Below are 22,924 nucleotides of genomic sequence, written 5' to 3' on the forward strand. Positions count from 1 at the left end.
CATTTCTTTCAGTTCATTTGTTTATTTTTTTCCCCAAAGCAGTACCGGAGACACCACCCCTGGGAAATACAAGGGAGCATGAGTCGCCAATCGTGGAGCTGGTGGTAGTGGGGAAGAGTTGTGGAGAAGAGAGTGATACTGTCATGCACTGGGCTTTATTTCATTCAATCGCTGCTATAGTCACTTCCCTTTCCTTCCCTTGGGAAGTGGGTGCTAGGACCCAGAGGACTTGGAAAGAGTGGAAACCAGCTCAGATTCCACTCCCATGTCACCTGTCAGCTGTGTGTCCTGGGCCACCTTACCTCACCCAAGTCTCAGTTTTTTCACCTACAAAATGAATCCCCTGCTTTAACCTTTGAAGGCAATTATGTAGCTTGACAGGAAAAGGTATGGACAATGCCCAGTAGAATACTAGGCACTGTGTTTGAGACCCCCCATTTGTTGAAATTAGAGATGCCCAAAATGTTGTTTTAAAAGATATAATGTGCTTAGGTCACTGTAGTGTGATCAGTTCTAAGACAGCCTGGTTAAATACATCTAGATATTTCAGGTGTATGAGAACCTCCAAGGACATAAAGCCAAACCCACAGACGTTGTGTGTTGATGGAACTTCCGAGACTTTTCCAGAACTCTCCGTTTTGTGGAGTGAGAGGTGCGTGCATGGGATGGAGAGAGAAGCTGAGGTCCTGGGGAACAAGCTCCCGGGAATCTGCCCTGCTTTGCCCCACCTCTCGATCTGTACCTTTGCTTCTCTTCGAAACCCAGCCCCATTCTCCTGTCCTCCTCTTTTCAGAGTCCGTGGCTTCCACACAGTAGGGCAATAAAGGGCAGTGTGTCATGGGAGAGGAGCCCAGGTCAGGGCAGAGCCAATAATCAGGAAAGTTTTTCCAGAAGGACGATGTCTGAGCAGGGTCTTCAAGGAGATGCATGGGTCGAGTGAAGTAAGCAGAGCTGGGATTGTGCTGCAGGGTGAACAGACTGTGCAAAGCACAGAGGTGCAGGGTGCCCTGAACATTCAGGGAGGGACCGGAAGGTCTGTTGATTAACCAGTTAATTTCATGATGTCCAAATGGCCTTGCCTCCCCCAGCTCTGACCATCACAAAGGTGAGTGCAAGACAGTGTGTGATGGGATGCAACTCCTTAACAATCACGCTATTAAAATATGGTGCACAGAGCTTCAAACCTCAGCCACTAAGAGGTTTCTTCCCATCCTATAACCACATCGTGAAACCATGGTGGGAAGCCAACACATTGCTAAGCTACCCCTCTGTGTCCTCAGTTCATCCATCTGTAAACTGGAGTTTTCCAGGCTCAGCATGATTGACATTTTGGACTGGATAATCCGTTGTCATGGAGGGCCATCCTGTACATACTAGGATGTTCAGCAGCATTCCTGGCATCTCCTAAACGCCACTAGCACCCCCCTCCAGTTGTGAAAACCAGAAGTGTCCCCAAAGGGAGCGAAAATTACCCCCTGCTGAGAACCATGGCTCTAAGGTCCCTCTCAGCATTATCCCAGCATTATCCAGTTCTGAGAGTAAATCAGGAAACACAGGGAAGTCAGCGTCTGCAGAAGCCTTAGAAGAATTTCTGTGCCATCTGCTGGCAATCCAAAGCCTTGTCCTCCCTCAGCTCAACCCCCTGCCTGTCATTCAGCCTGGAGGAAGTCCAGAGGCTCTGACCTTCGGAAACAGCTGGAAAAGAAAACCAAGAATGCAAGACTCGTGTGTGGGTTTTGTAGACGTTAGAGCAGACATTGGGTCATTTGGGCTAATATGGTTCTGGTCAGAAGAGCTGCAGGCTTCTTTACACTAGCAGTTCCTAGTGTAACTGGGGGCAACCCCCTCCAGGGACACAGCAATGTTGGGGGTGTTGGGTTTCACAACTTGTGTTGGGGGTGTTCAAACTGCACCAGTTTGTAAGCCCTCCCGCCATTTCGCAGAGCTTGGTCAAAATGAAACATTCCACGGGATTCGAGCCGTGAGAAACACCCTGTCTAAACACCTCACCACAAGGCACAGGAACGTCCTTATCACACCCTGCTGGGCAAAGGCCCCACTGAAGGAACATCCCTGCCATACCCTGCCGGGCAAGGGTCCGAGGAACATCCTATCACATTCTGTGGGTAAAAGGGCCAAACTATCTCATCGTGGGAACATGTTATCAACATTTTCCCAGGTGGCAGGCCTGGCCCCACCCCTAGACTCCTCCCACCCAGGCCTACAATTGTCCCAGCCTGTAAGCAGAGACAGGCACTGCCATTAAGCTGGTCCTCCACCTCTGCAGGTTTTATGCTGGACATAAATGCCAGCAGTTGCTATAGAGCTTCTCTCTCTCTCTCTCTCTCTCTCTCTCTCTCTCTCTCTGTCCCTGTGTGTGTCTTTCCTCAACTCTCACTTTCCCCTTAAAAAACCTAACAGCGGAGTGCTAATAACATCTAGCCGGTAGAGGCCAGGGATACTGCTAAACGCGCTACCAGGCACAGGACAGTCTCCTCCATCCTTAACATAGAATCATTCAGCCCAGAGTGTCAGCAGCACCAGGCTGAGAAGCCCCACTCTAAGCTAAGTGCTGAGCTTCCCAGAGAGCTCCTAGCCTCTTGAGGGCAGTCCCTCGGTCTTGATGCACTTACATACACTTGAACACACACCGAAGGAACAGAAATGCCCCACACCTTAGGAGAAATGATTCTGGAACAGTTTGTAGTCACAGGATCAGATGAGAGTGAAGATTATAAGCCTGCCAGAAGGGAGCTCAGCTGCCCTTCTTGTGAAATAGGCAATCTGACAGAGGCTTGCATTTCCTTCATGATTTCTGTAGACGCAGCCCTGTGCTGAGTGCAAAAGACAGTTGGTCACTCAGGCCAGAGTTGTTGAGAGTCACACAGAGTCTTGAATTTGAGGTTAGAAAGACCACATTGGCTTCCACAACTCTCAGTTTCCTCATCTATAAAATGGGCTTAATACTAGTTGCCCTAAGCTTATAGGGATGTTGGACTGATTCAGCCGAGCAATTTTATGTTTGCACGTGGAAAGTGCTCAGTAGATATCCACTATCGGCATTGCCTGTGCCCTGTGTTTGTCTTGCAGGAAGCCCTTCTCCTTTATCACCTCACTTGATTATCACTACGTTGCTATAAAGTGGAGGTTCTGGGGCTGGCATCCTGTGATTCTCATCGTATGTGACTGGCAAGGAATAAAGAAAGACACTCAGGATGCTACAGATACAGAAGCTGACTGCACAGGGACCTGAGAAAGGAAGGGACTGGAAGGGGCTCAGCAGGAGCACCACCAGCTCACACGCAGAGCCAGAACTGCCCTGGAAGAATTGGGCCAGCTGCTGCCGAATCCATGGAGGGAACTCAGGACATACAGGAGGGTTCCCCTTGGTGGGGTTGAGGGCATGGCAAGGACCCAATGATGCAGTCAGTGAAAGGAGACCTGGTGAACGGCAGAGTAGCAGCTCCCGGAAAAGAAGGAAGGTACCCTGGGACCATGGGCACTGACTTTTGCCGTCTTTCAACCACAGTGCTTTGGGCGACAACTGTCGGAGATAAAGCACCCACGGGCCCTACATTTGGGCAAAACTTGAAGATTCACAACGCTTTTTTAGGTTACTTCTTCCAGCAAAACCTCAGAGCAACCCTCTGTGGTAGGAAGGGTGGTTCCCATTTTCCAGATGTGAAAACTGCATCCCAGCTGGAGAAATCATTTGCCCCTGGGCATGCAAACAGCAGTGGCAGGGCCTGACTTAACGGGAGTTCTGTCCAACTGCAAGTTTTGCACAGTACAGCTGCCTGGAGCCAGAGGGTGCATGGGAGGAGAGACAGAGGTGTCCTCCCCAAGGCCTGGAATTGATCCTGTACTGGTAAATAGGCAGAGAGCGTGTGCCATGACTCACTGAGACAAGCATTTCCAACCGGAAGGAAGAAGCAGAGTTTTGACTGCAGCCTAGGAATCAGGGGCTGACGTGTCACCCTCTCCCAGTGGCCTCTGCATTGAGAGCACCGGCGTGGTGGTGCGACACGGAGGGAAGCACTTCTTGCCACAAGCTTCTGGGGACGTGGACAGGGAAACCCCCAAATCAGATTAAACACCAGAGCCTGCGAAAGTCCTGCTTCCTCCCCATGTCTGCTCTTCCACCAACAGAGGATGTGAGGACCCCAGGTTCAGGGGTGTCTGCTGAGAGCCCTGAAGGTCAGGGACTACCAAGAGAGAAAGAGCATTAGCTTCCAGAAAGTGCTTCCTGAAGAAGGTGGCCTGCACATGGCCCTGTCCCCCCGTGGAGGACCTCCAGCCCGTCTACAAGGACAGGACTCATGTCTAAGAAGACTCCCGTGTGATGGTGTGATGCCACCTGCAGAACGTGTTGCCTTGAATGCCAGGGGCACCCCAAGCCTCTATCTGCCATCACTGCCTGTGCCTCTGTATCTGTGGGTGCCGGTGACCAGCTGTGTGCACCTGGGAAGCTCTCCAAACGTGACATGACCACGACACCAGCAGGCCTTCATCAAATGCCTCCTACAGAGGTCTGACTGCCACTTCCTGAGGCCCATTCACCAGCTGGCCTCCTGCGGGAAGAAAACCCAGCCATGTTAGCACATGGGGGCCCTGTTTTTATGAAGTCATAAGTTACTATCTCCTATCTCCTCCTCTGAGTGTGTGTGTTCACAGGTGTCATATAGTACTCTATGCAAGCATGGCTCTCTGTGTAACATAAGTCACCCATGTCCATAGAAAGAGACAGAGATAACTGCAGATAGAAGTGTGTGCGGGCCTGTCATAACCAGCTACACATGGGTGTGAACACCTACAGAGACATGGGGTGGAGACAGAAAAGCAGAGCTGTGCAGGTCAAAATCTTAAATCCAGGGCATTCTTGGCAACCACAGCATTGGGCTTCTCTTTGCCACGTCTACCACTTTGATTGCTGGTGGTGAGGTTGATGAGAGACCTGAGGGGTGTCCTGGCATCCCTGAGACATGCACTCAGCTCCCCGATGGCACAGCTGGACTGGCCTGCTCTCGGCTGCTCCAGAAATCCCCAAACCCTGTGGGCATCCCGTCACCGTGGAGACCGAGTCAAACATCCCTGGGCCCCGTCCTGGCCTGCTGAGTCAGCTCCTGCAGGGTGGGGTCTGCAATCTACGGGTAATCCTGGCAGGGCCAGGTGGGGCTGTCTGGGTGATCCTGAATGGTGAGGCTAGCCTGGCATGGATTGGAAGGAGCCCTCGCTTCTCATTTAATGGCAGAGCTGCCAAGAATAAGTCCCAGGTCCCCGGCTCTGCCCTTCCCAGGCATGTCCAGCCCTGAAGCAGGAGAAGGTGGGTGTGTGGCCAGCAGGAGGCACAGACATTCTGAAGTCAGAATTTTCCTTCCAAGTTAGGGGCTGGGACACGAAGAACCAGTATCCCTTTCTCATCATAACAGCAAGAACGACGCTTTTGACCTTGGTCTCTTGGAAACTTGGAGGCAAATAGCTGCATGACGCCTTCGAGCTGTAAACATGCACTCTCTACACACTGAGTCCACACAGCCTCCTGGCTGCCACATTCTGTTCTGATTCCTTGACCGTGCCTTTGTAGTCAGTCCTGCAGTCAGGTAGGGTAAGTCCTCTACTTTTGTTCTCTTTTTTATAATTGCTTTGATCAGCATTCTGTTTTGATTTATATCTCTCCTGATTGTTTAGGTGTGCCTTTTTAATTTCAATTTTTTTTTGAGATGGAGTGCAGTGGCACGATCTCAGCTCACTGCAACTTCCGCCTCCTGGGTTCAAGCAATTCTCCTGCCTCAGCCTTCCAGGTAGCTGGGATTACAGGTGTGTGCCACCACGTCCGGCTAATTATTGTATTTTTTTAAGTAGAGACAGAGTTTTGCCATGTTGGCTAGGCTGGTCTCGAACTTCTGACCTCAGGTGACCCACCTGCCTCGGCCTCCCAAAGTGCTGGGATTACAGGCATGAGCCACCATGCCCGGCTTAATTTTAAATTTTTTTAATTTAAATTGGGGAGGTCTTCAAAGCTGCCTCAAATCCTTTATGGGATCAAGTGTGACATAAACATTTTCATCCCTCTAAGAATGCAGAGCTGGAAAAGTCCTTGAAGATCTTTAAGCCGAACGTACACAAACCTGTACTGTTTGGTATGTACAAATGTCTCTAACTTACTGAAATTAGAGGCCCACAGTTAAAAATTGGGATAGTTTACAATTTAAAATGTCCAAATTTCCAACTTCTTTGGAGTAATCAGGAGATCTGTTGATATGGTCGTTAGACTGGACACACAGTTTCATCTATACCTCCAACAAGGATTCAAGGAGCATCTGCACCATGTGGACACAGCCCCAGGCACGGATGATATACATGGCAGTGGCACGGTCAGGGATCCCCGTCCTCCTGGAGCCGACAGCAGGCTCTCCTCTGAGCTCCCGTGACCTGTCTCCTTGTCATGTTAATGACCTAGCCCCAGATGGTCCAGTTTATAACCCTTTCCTGGTCCAGCCACCTTGATTTACAGATGAGGAAACTGAGGCCCAGAGAGAGAATGTGACTTGCTGAAGACCACTTAGTGACCAATGGCAGACGTAGAACTAGAACCCAGGCCTCCTGACTCCAGTTCCCAGGACATTCGTCTGAGCTGGGCTGGCTGGCTTCAGGCAGCTACTCCCCTGCCCCCATGATCCGGTTCAGCTTTCCCTCCAGGTCCCTCCATCAGGGACCGCCCCTAGGGAGGGGCTCCCTCAGTGCTGCCAGGACCCCGGTGTTTTAGTAAATATGTGTCCTGTGCTGGGCTGATCTGACCCCTGTGGGGAGGGGCCCCTCTCCAGCCTCCAGCTGAGGGCAGGCAATGACTTCCACCAGGAATACACGTCATTGGCAGGTCCATCCCCTTCCCGCTGTCCAGCCAGCCTGGCGTCTGACTAATCAGAGCCCACAAGCCCACCATGTGAGTAGCCTTGCTGTTCCTTAGGTTGTTTGCCTTTGGTTTTTTAATTTTTTTTTAACTTACTATGATCAAGCTCTCAGCAGGCTCATCCAACCCAGTCATCCCTGCAGTGAAACCCGTCATTTCAGCTGTGCGTGATGCTCAGCTAGTTGTCTCCGAAGCCTTTCGTCTTCCCACCCACACACCTTTTGGAGGTTGGCAACTGCCCAGTTCTCCTCCCCCTGCATCCACCCCCTCACCGTCTCCGTCCTTGCAGTTTCTATGGTGCTGCTGAGCCAGGGACCATCACTTTCTTTGCAAGATGGTTTCCATGGCAACGGGTGCTGTGGCATCCGAGTGAAGCAGAGGCTACCTCTTCTCCAGAGACTTCCTGGTGTGGCCTAGGTGCCCTGGCTGCCTCCTTCCGCTCTTGACTTCTTGTGTGGCCTGGGCAACTTGTGCTCTTCCCTCAGCCGGAAATGCTCAGCCATACTTGTTCATATAGTTTGTCCTCTCCCTCGATGCAGCACTTGGTTCAGATGCCACTTCCTCAAAGTGGACATCACTGACCTTTTGCCCCTAATTACTCTTTATCCCCTGCTCCCCGCTGAACTTCTTCTGGCACTTAGTACACGCTGAAATTCTATTATTTGTTTATTTGTTTACTGCCCACCACTCTGTCTAGAATATACATTCCACAAGGGTAGAAACTTTGTCCTGCTCAATGCCCAGTTTCCAGAACCTTGCACAGTGACTGCCACATAGTAGGTACTCAATGAATAACCAATGATTAAGTAACTGGCCCCATGTCTCCTTTCCAGATCTCAGCCTTCTAGTCCATGGAACATCATTTATCCAGGTGTGATGTTGGGCTATGTCGTGTCTACGAGCTATGCGTTGGAGTTCTTCAAAAAGAAAAAGGAAAAGGAACAATGACTTGAAAAGCCTTTTAAATCTGGGACTGTTTGGAGAATCCGTTGCAATGTAACAGATGACCCCAAACCTCAGCGGCTGAAAACAACAATGGCTTTATTTGCTTAAGATTCGGTGGGTCAGGAATTCAGGACTTAGCCAAGTGGTTCTTTGGCTCCATGTGGTGCCAGCCAGAGTCATTCACTCAGCTGCATTCAGACCATGACTCGCTGGGCTGGTCTGGAAGGCCACAGAGGCTTTGCTCACATGTCTGGTGCCTGATTGTTCCTCCATGAGTCCTCTTTCTCTCTCTCTATTTGGTTAGCTTGGGCTTCCTCATAGCATGGCAGTCCCAGATCACTCAGACTTCATATATGGCAGCTGGCTTCTCAAAAGGAGCATTCCAGCATGTAAAAGCAGAAGCTGCAGAACCTAAGGCTTAGCCTCACGTTGCATCACTTCTGTCCCATGTTATTAAGACAAGCCACAACTGATGTCTAAACTCAGAGGAAGGGGAAATAGACTCCACCTTTTATGGGAAGAGCAGCAAAGGCCTTGAAGCCATATTTCATCTACCATAGGGACAAATCCCTTACCAGATCCCACCAAAAAACTTGGATAAATATATACTCCATAGGATCAGGCCTCACTCAGTGCCACTAATTGGAGGATTATAATTGTCCACAAAAAGGCTAAGCATAATGACGGACTAAGATAAAGGATGAGTTTGCTGCGGAAAGTAATACTAAGGACAAAATTGAGGGAGAGTGTCAGCCCAACTTGTGAAATATGGCTAATACCTGTGCTAGTTATACTTCTTTTGGTTACAAAAACATAATCTTAGAGACCCTTTGGATTGCTTAAACAAATAAACAAACAAAATATTGGAAGGACTACCAGGTTGTGGGCGAGTCTCACGGAGCATGGAACAACTGGATCACAGAGAAACCAGCTCTGGGGACTCAGCCGCAGGGGGCTACGGGTTGTCTTTTGAGGCTCTGCTGCAACCGCAACTCAGCATTCAAGACTCTTGCTCACTGTTTTCCTCACTTCCAAATCTCACTTTCCAGGACAGGGACTCAGTGGCCCATCATTCAGGTGTGCTGCTAGCTCCAGCCTGGGGGACTGATATGGTCTGGCTGTGTCCCTACCCAAATCTCATCTTGAATTGTAGTGCCCATAATCCACACGTGTCATGGGAGGGACCCGGTGGGAGGTAACTGAATCATGGGGGTGGGTTTTTCCTGTGCTGTTCTCGTGATAGTGAGTAAGTCTCAGGGAGATCTGATGGTTTTATAAAGAGCACTTCCTCTGCACATGCTCTCTTGTCTGCTGTCGTGTAAGACGTGACTTTGCTCTTCCTTCACCTTCTGCCATGATGGTGAGGCCTCCCCAGCCATGTGAAAGTGTGAGTCCATTAAACCTCTTTCCTTTATAAATTACCCAGTCTCAGGTATGTCTTTGTTAGCAGCATGAGAATGGACTAATACATGGAAAGACGCCCAGGCCCGGCCATGGCCTTAGGGACTGTGCAAGGTATCAGGGGCAGATCCTGAAGAGGGGAGGTGATTGCAACCCAGGGGCAGGATGGACACCTCCCACTCAAATTTGATCTGGATGTTGAGACCAACAACAACACACGTGCACCCGAGGATATAGCAAGATCTAATGCTCACACTATGAGGCTTCTCAGGATAGCAGGGCAGGTTGCCTAAGGTGCTCTGAACATGGCTTGAGAAATCAAGGAAAGAAGACTGACTGTCTTGGTGTTTTATGGTGGTTAGTGGGTGGGGCTGGGGTGAGAATTCCCAAGCACAGTTTGAGAGGCACTGGGCTATCCCATCAGTGGGCCCAGATGTGGGGTAGAAAGGGGAGAGGGAGGAACCAAGCCTAAAAGCTGTCAGCAGCCAAGCATCAAGAAACGGAGTCAGACTGCATTCCAAGGACCTGCTGCCAAGTCCTTCATAGCCACACAGCAGTTTAGAGAACCTGCTCCTCCCTTTACCCTACAATCCACAACAGCTCCAAAGCACTGAGACCTAGGAGACCCTGAGCTGAGGGCTAGAGAAGGACAGGGCAGAAGGTCAGGTGTTTGCTCTGAACCTGGACTTCGGTCAGCACTGCACAGAGACGGCAGCGTAGGCAGGAAGCCTGGGGTGGGAAGGGCGGCAAGGCTGGGCTGGAGCCATGGTGGGCAGAGGGACAGGGTTTGGAGGATGAAGCAGGACCTCGAAGAACAGAAATCCCCATCCCCTCCCTCTCTCCTCAGTTCAGAAATATCTTCACCTTCTGAAATCATCAGCTCAGCATCAGTTAGAAAATCCTCATGGCTATGGTGATACCCGCTCTGCATGGCCAGAATCAATGTCCTCAAATCAAACCAAACCGGGATCAACCCAACGCCCCCTTCTCCATGACGCTTGCCCCTATCTCCCCTTCCCTCCCCTTGCTCTGCGGCCTGTGGCCTCACCTAGGGCTGCCTCATCATGTCTTTGCTGCTCTCTAAGGTCAAGGTTGCTCACGTCTGTGCCCTGGATGTACCCTGGCCCCCGGGCACAGCCATCATCATTCCATGCTCCATACTTCTACAGGACATTTGCCTATGCTGTTCCCCTACCTGGAACACTGTTCCACGCTTGGTACCTCCTTGTCATTCTGCTCAGCTCAAATGCTCCTTCCCCAGGAAACCCTTCCTGAAGGCCCCCTCCCCCAGCCAGCGAATCCCCATTGCAGTCAATCCCAGCTCCTGCTCTACGCTTCAGAGCCCACCCACACTGTGTAGCTGCAGGAGCTGCTCCCGCCAACCAAAATAGGGTGATTTTGCTCACTGCAGCAGGAGTTCAGTAAGTAGCTGAGAACGAGTGCATGAAGCAATGAAGGAATGAACTCAGGGTGCTGCTGAAGTCTTCTCCCCACTGGGCCAGCGGCTGTTTCTCTTTCTCCTCCAACCTTCGACAAGTCTGAGCTCAGGAGAGGAAGGGGCCCGTGTGATGTGAACCCAGCTGCTGCGAATCTTTCTGAGCCCAGCTCCTCCATTAACTTGCCTTAGTCAAGTTCTAACCCTCACGTAAGAGGGGGTGTTTGGCTAGATGAGCTAGCATTAACACTTTCAGAATAGTAGAGGACTAAGCCTGTGTTTCCAAACGCAAAAGCCACCTTTTCCCACCCCAAGCCCCAGGGCACGGGTTTTAGGAGCGCCTGAAGGCAGTGGATGTGCCAGTGCAGTTAAGAAATGGAGGCGCGCCCTCTGGTGGTGAAAATTCAAACTGCAGAGACCAGGCCCCGCCAAACGCTTGCCCTGAGGCCGTGGGTGATTCTTAAGACCCGCTAGGGGACAGCATTAAAGTGCAGGACCCCCAGACCCGCCCTGCACGCCCACACCCGTGATTCTGATTCAAGAGACTTGGGGGAAAGCCTGTGATTCTTTGCTTTTAATAACTACTTCTAGGCCAGGCACAGTGGCTCCTAGGATTTTGGGAGGCCAAAGTGGGTGGATGACTTGAGCCCAGGAGTTCCAGACCAGCCTGGGTGATACGGTGAAACACCCGTCTCTACAAAAAATACAAAAATTAGCCGGGAGTGGTGGTGCATGCCTGTAGTCCCAGTTACTCTGGAGGCTGTGGTGGGAGGAACATCTGAGCCCAGGAGGTTGAGGCTGCAGTGAGCCAAGATCGTGTCACTGACTTCCAGTCTGGGTGACAGAGCAAGACTCTGTCTCAAAAATAAATTAATTAACGAGTACCTCTCTTATGGAGGACTCCAGGGCCACATTTTGAGGAATGTTGGTCTTAGGCAAAAAGCAGCTGAATTCCTTGGTATCCTAGTGCCTCGGTGGTGTTATGGGGCGGTGGCCTCTGTGACTGTGGGTGTGGCCTCAGGGTAGCAGAATTTCGCTGGGAGACGCACAGCTTCCTGCAGGGTCGCAGGCCCACAGGGGGCTCAGTCTACCCACATAACCCAAGAAGAAAGCCTAATCCTCTTTGAGGGGAAAGTGTGGGTTGGGACTGCCCCCGGCTGGCTGCACAATTGGTTGAGGTTAAATCTCCTTTCTAATAGTACTAGTCAAAGGCGGAGGTGAAGAGCTTGGACTTTGGGACCAGAAATTTCTGAGTTCAAATCTCAGTTTTCCCATATAGGAGCTGTGCGACCTCAAGGAAGATATTTAGCGCCCCTGGGCCTCCATCACCTCCTCTCTTTAATGAAGGTAAAGCATGTCTCTTAGGATTCCTAGGATTATTTAATGTCATTACACTATCAAAGACAAGACCCAGCACATTGCAAAATCTCCACAGATAGGATCTGGTTTTGTTGTAGTTATTATTGTAGTTATTTTTATTACTTTTTTCCGTAGGTTTTTGGGGTACAGGTGGTATTTGGTTACACGAGTAAGTTCTTCAGTGGTGATTTGTGAGCTTTTGGTACACACATCACCTGAACAGTATACACTGCACCATATTTGTAGTCTTTTATCCCTCGCCCCCCTCCCACCTTTCCCTCAAGTTCCCAAAGTCCACTGTATCATTCTTATGCCTTTATATCCCCATAACTTAGCTCCCACCTATCAGTGAAAACATTCGATGTTTGGTTTTCCATTCCTGAATTACCTCACTTAGAATAATAGTGTCCAGTCTCATCCAGGTCGCTGCAAATGCCGTTAATTCATTCCTTTTTATGGCTGAGTACTATTCCATTGTGTATACATACTGCAGTTTCTTTATCCACTCATTGATTGATGGGCATTTGGGTTGGTTCCATGATTTTGCAATTGCAAATTGTGCTACTATAAACATGCTTGTGCAAGTATATTTTTCGTATAATGACTTATTTTCCTCTGGGTAGATACCCAGTAGAGGGATTGCTGGATCAAATGGTAGTTCTACTTTTAGTTCTTTAAGGAATTTCCACACTGTTTTCCATAGTGGCTATACTCATTTACATTCCCACCAGCTGTGTAGAAGTGTTCCCTGTTCACCGCATCCATGCCAACATCTACTGTTTTTTGATTTTATGATTATGGCCATTCTTGCAGGAGTAGGGTGGTAACACATTGTGGTTTTGATTTGCATTTCCCTGATCATTAGTGACATTGAGGATTTTTTCATATGTTTGTTGGCCATTTGTATATCTTCTTTTGAGAATTGTCTATTCATATCCTTAGCCCACTTTTTGATGGGATTGTTTGTTTTGTTCTCAGATTTGTTTGAGTTCACTGTAGATTCTGGATATTAGTTCTCTGTCAGATTTATAGATTGTGAAAATTTTCTCCCACTCTGTGGGCTGTCTGTTTACTCTGCTGACAGTTCCTTTTGCCGTGCAAAAGCTCTTTAGTTTAATTAGGTCCCAACTATTTATCTTTGTTTTTATTGCATTTGCTTTTGGGTTCTTGGTCATGAAATTCTTGCCTAAGCCAATGTCTAGAAGGGTTTTTTCAATGTTATCTTCTAGGATTTGTATAGTTTTAGGTCTTAGATTCAAGTCCTTAATCCATCTTGAGTTGATTTTTGTATTAAGGTGAGAGACGAGGATCCAGTTTCATTCTTCTACATGTGGCTAACTAATTATCCCAGCACCATTTGTTGAAAAGGGTGTCTTTCCCCAACTTTATGTTTTTGTTTGCTTTGTCAAAGATCGGTTGGCTGTAAGTATTTGGGTTTATTTCGAGGCTCTCTATTCTGTTCCATCGGTCTATGTGCCTATTTTTAAACCAGTACCATGCTGTTTTGGTGACTATGGTCTCACAGAATAGTTTGAAATCAGGTAGTGTGATGCCCCCAGATTCCTACTTTTTGTTTAGTCTTGCTTTGGCTATGCAGGCACTTTTTTTGGTTCCATATGAATTTTAGAAGTGTTTTTCCTAATTCTGTGAAAAATGATGGGGGTATTTTGATGGAGATTGCATTGAATTTGTAGAATGCTTTTGGTAGTATGGTCATTTTCACAATATTGATACTACCCATCCATAAGCATGAGATGTGTTCCCATTTGTTTTTGTCAACTATGATTTCTTTCAGGAGTGTTTTGTAGTTTTCCTAGTAGAGGTCTTTTGCCTCCTTGGTTAGGTACATTCCAAAGTATTTTACCTTTTTTGTAGCTATTATAAGAGGAGTTGAGTTCTTATTTGATTCTCTGCTTGGCCGCTCTTGGTGTATAGAAGAGCAACTGATTTGTGTACATTAATCTTGTATCTGGAAACTTTGTTAAATTCTTTTATCCGTTATAGGAGCTTTCTGGAGGAGTTTTTAGGGTTTTCAAGGTAAACGATCATATCGTCAGCAGTGAGAGTTTGACTTCCATTTTACCAATTTGGATGCCCTTTATTTCTTTCTCTTGTCTGATTACTTTGGCTAGGACTTCCAGGACTATGTTGAAGAGGAGTGGTAAGAGTGGGCCTCCTTGTCTTGTTCCAGTTCTCAGAGGGAATGCTTTCAACTTTTCCCCATTCAGTATTATGTTGGCTGTGGGTTTGTCATAGATGACTTTTATTACATTGAGGTATGTCCCTTGTATGCCGATTTTGCTGAGAGTTTTAATCATAAATAGATGCTGGATTTTTTCGAATGCTTTTTCTACAGCTATTGAGATAATCATGTGATTTTTGTTTTTAATTCTGTTTATGTGGTGTATCACATTTATTGACTTGTGTATGTTAAACCATCCCTGCATCTCTGGTATGAAACCCACTTGATCATGGTGGATTATCTTTTTGATATGTTGTTGGATTTGGTTAGCTAGTATTTTGCTAAAGATTTTAGAGTCTATGTTCATCAGGGATATTGGTCTGTAGTTTTCTTTTTTGGTTATGTCCTTTCCTGGTTTTGGTATTAGGGTGATACTGGCTTCATAGAATGAAAGAGAGGGTTGCCTCTCTCTCTGTCTTGTGGAATAGTGTCGAAAAGATTGGTACCAATTCTTCTTTGAATGTGGTAGAATTCTGCTGTGAATCCATCTGGTCCTGGGCTTTTTTTGTTGGTTATTTTTTATTTACTATTTCAATCTTACTGCTTATTATTGGTCTGTTCAGAGTATCTAATTCCTCCTGATTTAAGCTAAGATGGTTGTATTTTTCCAGGAAGTTATCCATCTCTTCTAGGTTTTCTAGTTGATGTGCATAGAAGTGTTCATAGTAGCCTCAAATAATCTTTTGTATTTCAGTGGTGTCAGTTGTAATATGTTCTGTTTCATTTTTTAATGAGGTTATTTGGATTTTCTCTCTTTTTTCTTGGTTAATCTTGCTAATGGTCTGTCAATTTTATTTATCTTTTCAAAGAACCAGCTTTTGTTTCATGTATTTTCTGTGTTTTTTTGTTTGTTTGTTTCAATTTCATTTAGTTCTGCTTTGATCTTGATTATTTCTTTTCTTCTGCTTGGTTTGGGTTTGGTTTATTCTTGTTTCTCTACTTCCTTGAGATTTGACCTTGGAATGTCAGTTTGCGCTCTTTCAGTCTTTTTGATGTAGACATTTAGGGCTATGAACTTTCCTCTTAGCACAGCCTTCGCTTTATCCCAGAGGTTTTGATAGGTTGTGTCATTATTGTCATTCAGTTTGAAGAATTTTTTAATTTCAGTCTTGATTTCATTTTTGACCCAATGCTCATCTGGGAGCAGGTTACTTAATGTCTGTATATTTGCGTGGCTTCAAAGCTTCCTTTTGGAGTTGACTTCCAGTTTCATTCCACTGTGATCTCAGAGAGTACTTGATATAATTTCAATTTTCTTAAATTTATTGAGGCTCATTTTATGGCCTATCATGTGGTCTATCTTGGAGAAAATTCCATGCACTGTTGAATAGAGGGTGGATTCTGCAGTTGTTGGATGAAATGTTCTGTATATATCTGTTAAGTCCATTTATTCCAAGGTATAGTTTAAATCCATTGTTCTTTTGTTGACTTTCTGTCTTGATGACCTGTCTAGTACTGTCAGAGGAGTATTAAAGTCCCCCACTATTATTGTGTTGCTGTCTATCTCATTTCTTAGATATATTAGTAATTGTTTTACAAATTTGGGAGCTCCAGTGTTAGGTAGATATATGTTTAGGATTGTGATATTTTCTTGTTAAACAAGGCCTTTTACCATTGTATAATGTCTCTCTTTGTCTCTTTTAACTGCTGTTGCTTTAAAGTTTGCTTTGTCTGATATAAGAATAGGTAACCCTGCCCACTTTTGGTGTCCATTTGCATTAAAGGTCTTTTTCCACCCCTTTAAGTTTATGTGAGTCCTTACATGTTAGGTGAGTCTCTTGAAGGCAGAAGATTGTTGGTTGCTGAGTTCTTATGCATTCTGCAGCTCTATATCTTTTAAGTGGGGTATTTAGGCCATTTACATTTAATGTTAGTATTGAGATGTGGGGTACCATTGCATTCATTGTGCTATTTGTTGCCTGTGTACTTTGGTTTTTTTGTTTTTGTTTTTGCTTTTTAAAATGTATTTTTGTATCACAGGTCCTGTGTGATCTATGTTTTAAATAGGTTCTGTTTTGATGTGTTTTCAGAATTTGTTTCAAGATTTAGAGCTCCTTTTAGCAGTTCTTATAGTGCTGCCTTGGTAGTGGTGAATTCTCTCAGCATTTGTTTATCTGAAAAAGACTGTATCTTTCCTTCATATATGATGCTTAATATCACTAGATATAAAATTCTTGGCTGAAAATTGTTTTGTTTGAGAAGGCTGAAGATAGGGCCCCAATCCCTTCTGGCTGGTAGATTTCTCTGCTGAGAAATCTGCTGTTAATCTAATAAGTTTGCCTGTATAGGTTACCTGGTGGTTTTGTGTCACAGCTCTTAAAATTCTTTTCTTTGTCTTAACTTTAGATAACCTGATGACAATGTGCCTAAGTCATTATCTTTTTGCAATGAATTTCCCAGGTGTTCTTTGTGCTTCTTGTATTTGGATGTCTAGGTCTCTAGCAAGACTGGGGAAGATTTCCTTGATTATTCCCGCAAGTTTGGAAATGTTACCTGGTGCTTTCCAAACTTTCAGATTTCTCTTCTTCCTCGGGAGCACCGATTATCCTTAGGTTTGGTCGTTTAACATAATCCCAAACTTCTTGGAGGCTTTGTTCATATTTTCTTTGTTTTTGTTGGATTGGGTTAATTTGAAGATCTTGTCTTCAAACTCTAAATTTCTTTCTTCTACTTGTTCAATTCTATTGTAAGACTTTCCAGAGCATTTTGTATTTCTGTCAGTATTTCTATCAGTGTGTTCAATGTTTCCTGAAGTTTTGATTTTTTTAATGCTATCTATTTCCTTGAATATTTCTCCCTTCACTTCTTGTATTGTTTTTTGGATTTCCTTGCATTGGGCTTCACCTTTCTCTGGTGCCTCCCTGATTAGCTTAATAACTAACCTCCTGAATTCTTTTTCAGATAAATCAGGGATTTCTTCTTGGTTTGGATCCATTATTGGTGAGCTAGTGTGATTTTGGTGGTGGGGGGTGGGGGGCGGGGGGGTGGTGTTAAAGAGCCTTGTTTTGTCATATTACCAGCGTTGGTTTTCCGGTTCCTTCTCATTTGGGTAGGCTCTCTCTGAGGGAAGGTCTAGGGCTAAAGGCTGTTGTTCAGATTCTTTTGTCCCACACTGTGTTCCCTTGATGTAGTACTCTCCCCCTTTTCCTATGGATGTGGCTTCCTGTGAGCCACGTTGCAGTGATTGTTATTTTTCTTCTGAGTCTAGCCACCCAGCAAGTCTGCCCGGCTCCAGGCTGGTACGGGGGTTTGTCTGCACAGAGTCAGGTGATGTGAACCCTCTGTGGGTCTCTCAGCCATGGATACCAGCACCCGTTTTGGTGGAGGCGGCAGGGGACTGAAATGAACTCTGTGAGGGTTTTTAGCTTTGGTGGTTTAACGTTCTATTTTTGTATTGGTTGGCCTCCTGCCGGGAGGTGGCGCTTCCCAGAGAGCATCAGCTGTGGTAGTATGGAAAGGAACTGGTGGTGGTGGGGTTTCAGAACTCCCAAGAGTATATGTTATTAGTTTTCCGCTATCAGGGTGGACAGGGAAGGCCCATCGAGGGGCAGGGCTGGGGGTGTCTGAGCTCTGACTTTCTTTGGGTGGGCCTTGCTATGGCTGCTGTGGGGGATGGGAGTGAGGTTCCCATGTCAATGGAGTTATGTACCTAGGAGGATTATGGCTGCCTCTACTGAGTCATGCAGGTTGTCAGGAAAGTAGGGGAAAGCCAGCAGTCACAGGCCTCACCCAGCTCCCAAACAATCTGAAGGGCCATTCTCATTCCCACCATGCCCCTGCTAACAGCCCTGAGTCTGTTTCCAGGCAGTGGGCGAGCAGGTCTTGGGAACTTGCCCCAGGTTACTCACCTCCCAACTGCGAAAGAATAGGGCTTTGGTTCTTCCCCTACCTGTGGAGTCGGCACACTGGATTCGCACCCTTCCCCAAGTTCTGGCCAGCAAGCTTCTTGCCCTGTTCAAATTGTTACAAATTTCAGCTGGAGACTTCCTTCTCCCTGTGGCATTTTGCCCCACACCTCTGGCCACCCTCCCAAAGGGCTCCTGTGGTGCCATGCAGGAATGGCCTGCTTGAGATCCAGCAAGCTCCCAGGGCCTTTCCCCCTGCTTCCTCTACCCCTGTATTTCGCTTGGCTCTCTAAATCGACTCAGCTCCAGGTAAGGTCAGAAACTTCTCCCACAAACTACACCTTCATTTTCCCCAGTGGGGGTGTGTGTTTCATAGCAGAAGGTCTCCCTTTCCCATTTCCGCAGTTTGGGTACTCACAGTATTTGGGGGATCTCCTGGGTCCTGCAGAAGCAGTCCACTTCCTTCAGAGGGTCTGTGTGTCCTCTCAGGATTCCTGGTTTGTTCTTGAAGTCATTCTGACACTAAAATTCACCATGCAAGCCTCCGCATGCTGCTCTGTCTATCCAAGTCAGAGCTGCAATCTAGTCTTGCCTCCCATCCACCAGGATGATCCTGAATGAAGTCTAATTATTGTTTTTTATTCAACTGACCCTAACATAGGACTTGTTCTGTGCTAAGCAATGTGCTAAGCTGTGAAAGTTAGAGGGAAGGACACAAATTCAGGAAGAAAAAGGAATAAAACACTGTGCTTGCTTCCTAAAAACCCATAGTCCAGCAGGGACATCATATGTGGTAGTCTGAAAGCATATCCACTTTGAAGATGACTCTAGTCTCAGTTCCTGTCCAACTGCAACCTCATAAGAGACCCTGAGCAAAAACCACCCAGCTGAGCCCAGTCAACCCCCAGAACTGTAGAGATAGCAATAATAATGACAAACAACTGCCATTGTTTTATGCCGCTAAATTTGGGGTGGCTTGTTTCCCAGCTATACATAAGTAGGATGTATGTGTATCCTGTGTAACTATGTATCTAAAAGCCAGATAGAAAATGATGAGTTTAAGAGAGGGACAGATAATTAGACGTAGAGTTCCTAGAGAGGCTAAACAGCCCACCTACACCTTTTAGCATTTCCAGGCAAGCATCAAGCCCTGAGCCCCTCTAACTCCAGGGATACATATTGTGTTGCATGAGTGTTTTGTTGAAGCTCTGCACTCTTAAGATAACATGGGGGAAGCACTTCTCTCCTTCCTCTTTGTAATTCCTTCTCAGTCTCCACCTCTCAACACCTTTCAGTCCTCTTTCACATGAGTAAAGCATTTAAGAATCAGGAGACCTGTTCTTGACCACCTACTCTGGAATTTTTGCATGGAGCTCTCTTTGGACTGTAGCATCTATAGTCTTCCTACCTCCATCCAAACCAAGACTGGAAGAGCTTTGTTGTTGCTGTTCTGTATGAGCACATACCCATTTCTTACAAGACTGGAAGGAAACCAATTATATCTAGTCATAAGCTGAACACCAGGTTTGCAAATGATTTTATTTTCTTCTCCAGGTTTTTTTTACTTTCCCATATTTTTCATGATGACCATTATTGCATTGCCAATCAAATTCAAAACAAGGACAGCCTTTTTAAGGGCAGATTAATTTCCTGGCTCCATTTGGAATCCAGGGAATGGGAAGGGGATTGGGAGCAGTTAGCAGGAGGGCAGCATAAGTGGAGCCTGTGCTGGAATGGGAGACCAAGACAGCCATTGAGAAAGGGCTGGGTTGCAATTTAGGATGCAGTGGAGCAGAGGAGGGTGTCAGGGAGTGGGATTCATGCCTACAGCACAGTTCAGGCAGTTTCTGGGATGCTGGAAAAAGCGGCTCCCTGCCGGGGACATCAGTGGTGTCACAGCAGCTGCCCCATCTGGCCCAGTGGTATTTCCTAGGGGCAGAGAGGCAGTCAAGCCCTCTGCTTCCCCACATCCACCCTGGCCTTCCTGGTCAGGCAACTTATCCCTGCTTCCTTAAATCAGTACTTGCCGAGAGTGTTGCAGATTTTAGGAGCTTGCCACTGGAACATCTGAGCAGCACCTCTGAGCAGGGCCTTTGGCATCTCTTCATTCATTCATTCATTCATTCATTCATTCATTCAATGACTGACTTCTGTTAAGCATCTTCTATAGGCCAGGCCTGTTCTAATGTGCCCAGATATGACTGTGGCACAATTCATTGTCCTCTGGGACCTTACAGATGATTAACAAGAAACACTTGGCCTTCAAATTGTAACAGGCAAGGGTTCAACAATCCTGAAGCCCTCCCAGAGACCTTAAGACAAGAAGCAGGCAGGACTGAGGCTGGAGTTAGCAACTGAGCCCAGCCTGCAGCCACACCAATTGCCGTCATTCCCTCCTTCTCCTGCAGGGTCCAAGTCAGTAGCTCCCACTACATGCCTGAGAGTTCTTTCCACCTTTCCTTTATATGGGCCTGCTCTTTGCAGGAAAAAATAACTGCTGTAGCCCACGGGGACTGCATGGACTTCATGGGATTCAAGAATCTCCCTAAATTGTAAAACATACATCTGTGCATATTTCAGGGAGAGTTCAAAGCTTTCTTGAGATAATCAGGACCACAACTCAAAACAAGTTTAACAACATGGTTTCAGCCATGTGTACACCTTTGGGGATAAATGAGTAATGTACAACCCATCTGAAATAATACGACAGACTAACTCACGCTTCCACTGCACTCACTATGGCCAGATGCTATTCTAGGACTTTACAGATGTCAGTTTACTGATCTTGTTGACAACCCTGAGATTTAGGGGCAATTATTACCCACAGTTTACAGATGAAGACACTGAGGCAGAGTTAAGTAACTTAAGTAGTGGTGGAGTCTAGATTCAACCCAGACAGTCTGGCTGTCCACCACTGCTGGGATGGGAAGGGAAGAAGGAAGCACCCATTAAGACTGATACAGGGCTCAGAACATTTAAGAGTGCTGCCCCCCTGCCCTTAATATCAGTTTTCTGATTAGTGATTATTGCTTCTCATTTGACACGTGAAAAACTGAGGTTCAGAGAGGTGGAGTGACTTGCCCAAAGTCACAAATCTCAGCAGTGAGGGAGCTTGTCTGACGCCAAAGCCCAGCCTCTGTCCAGAACATACCAGGGGCAGGCGCCAGAAACTAAAGGGCAGTGACTGTGTGCTCATGGCAGGGACAAGCTGTCCATCCCCTGGGCTGCAGCCAAGCATACGCTAACCCCTGGAATCTGTGGCATCAGCCCCAAACTCACTGAAGAAGCAAGACTAAAAAAGCAAAACCCCAGACTGTAGACCATTGTAAGGGGAATAATGTATTTTCACATTCATCAGAGCAAAAATCCATGGCCATCTTTCACTCATTGACTTACTCAGTCAACATCCATGGAGCATGTCCCCTGCACCACATTCTGCTCTAGCGCGTGGTACAGCAGTAAGCAAAGCAGCAGCTGCTATTCCGGTGGCAGGAAAAGTCTGTCCAAGTGGAGAAGCAGCAGATGCTGGGAAGGAATATGGGCTTCATGTTCAGTGGCCACGGAGCAGACCCTGACTCTGGAATCTGAGCTAACAATGTCTCCGGGCTTACATTTTCTCATGTGTAAAATGGGCCAAGCTTAGTATACCTAGAGTGTATAGGCAAGGGAAAGAGAGAGATGAGTGAGGGAAAGCGAGAATCCACTGAGACAGTAGCTCTCACTTTGCCTGACCTGCTAGCTTCCTCTCTTGTCCTGGTGTTGACCCATTTTGGACCTCAGGCCAGCTGGCTCCAGGGCTGTGCTTGTGCCTGCTCTGCCATCCCCATGTCTACATCGCTCAGGGCTCCCAGCCCACTGTGCTGCTCAGTGGTGTATATTTCACTTACCTTAAGGCCCAACGACTTGGAAACACATCCAGAAAGTCTGCTAGAGGATGCCTGAATGGTCAAGGTCATCTCAGTCAGGGCACCCAGGGCCACATTGCTCCCTGCAGTCCTTCCCCACATAGCTTGAGAAATGGCTGCCCCAGGAGGGTGCAAGGGTGCAAGGGTGCAGGGGTTCACTGATTACTGGGGAGAGAACAAGTTCAATTCCATGGTTAAAGAAGAAAAATGCAAATTGAATACCTGGCCCAAGGAGGTTCCTGGTCCCACCCCATGCCACCCTTGCCCTGGGATGTACTCTCCTTATGGTCTGACCTATGAGATCTCAGTGGACTCTATCCTCAGAAATCACAGAGTCCAGGATTGCAAACTGGAGGCCCTGCTGTGAGGCCCTGCCCACAGGTGGGTCTTGCCTGGCCTGTAGAGAGCTGGCTCTCTCACTTCCACACATCCCCACCATTCCCCACCGTGGCACCATGGAGTCTTCCTTACCTGATCTAGGAAGGCGGCGCTGGAGCTTGCTGCCCCCTGTCTGATCCAGCCCCTCATGTTGTAGGAGGGAGGTGGGCGACTGAAGCTCAGAGAGGGAGTAAATGAGCTCAACTTCACACAGCTAGTGAGGGGCTGGTTGGAGACCAGATTTTCCAAGTGGTTCCCCGGGCCCTCGGGGAGCAGCAAGGGCCAGGCGAACCTCCATGCACTGCACAAACATGAAGAAGTGAACCCTCTTGGGGTTCCCCAGGTGGGAAGTGGGGTGTCTTCTTGGGAGGGGGTGAACCAACTTCTGGTGAGTTTTCCTTGTTGAGGCAATGCTGCACCCGTAGCCTGTTTGTTAATAATTACCTGGTCGGGAGAGAGTGGGTGGTACTGAGAAGGCCTGGTTTGACCAGTCCTCCTGGGCTT

General features: G+C 47.2%; 1 long non-coding RNA gene across 1 annotated transcript; it reads right to left on the bottom strand.

Moving 5' to 3' along the window:
• On the bottom strand, positions 19,658-22,897 carry LOC124903410 (uncharacterized). The gene is made up of 2 exons (XR_007064389.1): positions 22,514-22,897; positions 19,658-22,207 (listed from the first exon to the last, which is right to left on the bottom strand). It is a non-coding gene; the product is annotated as an uncharacterized LOC124903410 (long non-coding RNA).

Source organism: Homo sapiens, chromosome 14, assembly GCF_000001405.40.
Source record: "Homo sapiens chromosome 14, GRCh38.p14 Primary Assembly".
Taxonomy (NCBI): Eukaryota; Metazoa; Chordata; class Mammalia; order Primates; family Hominidae; genus Homo; species Homo sapiens.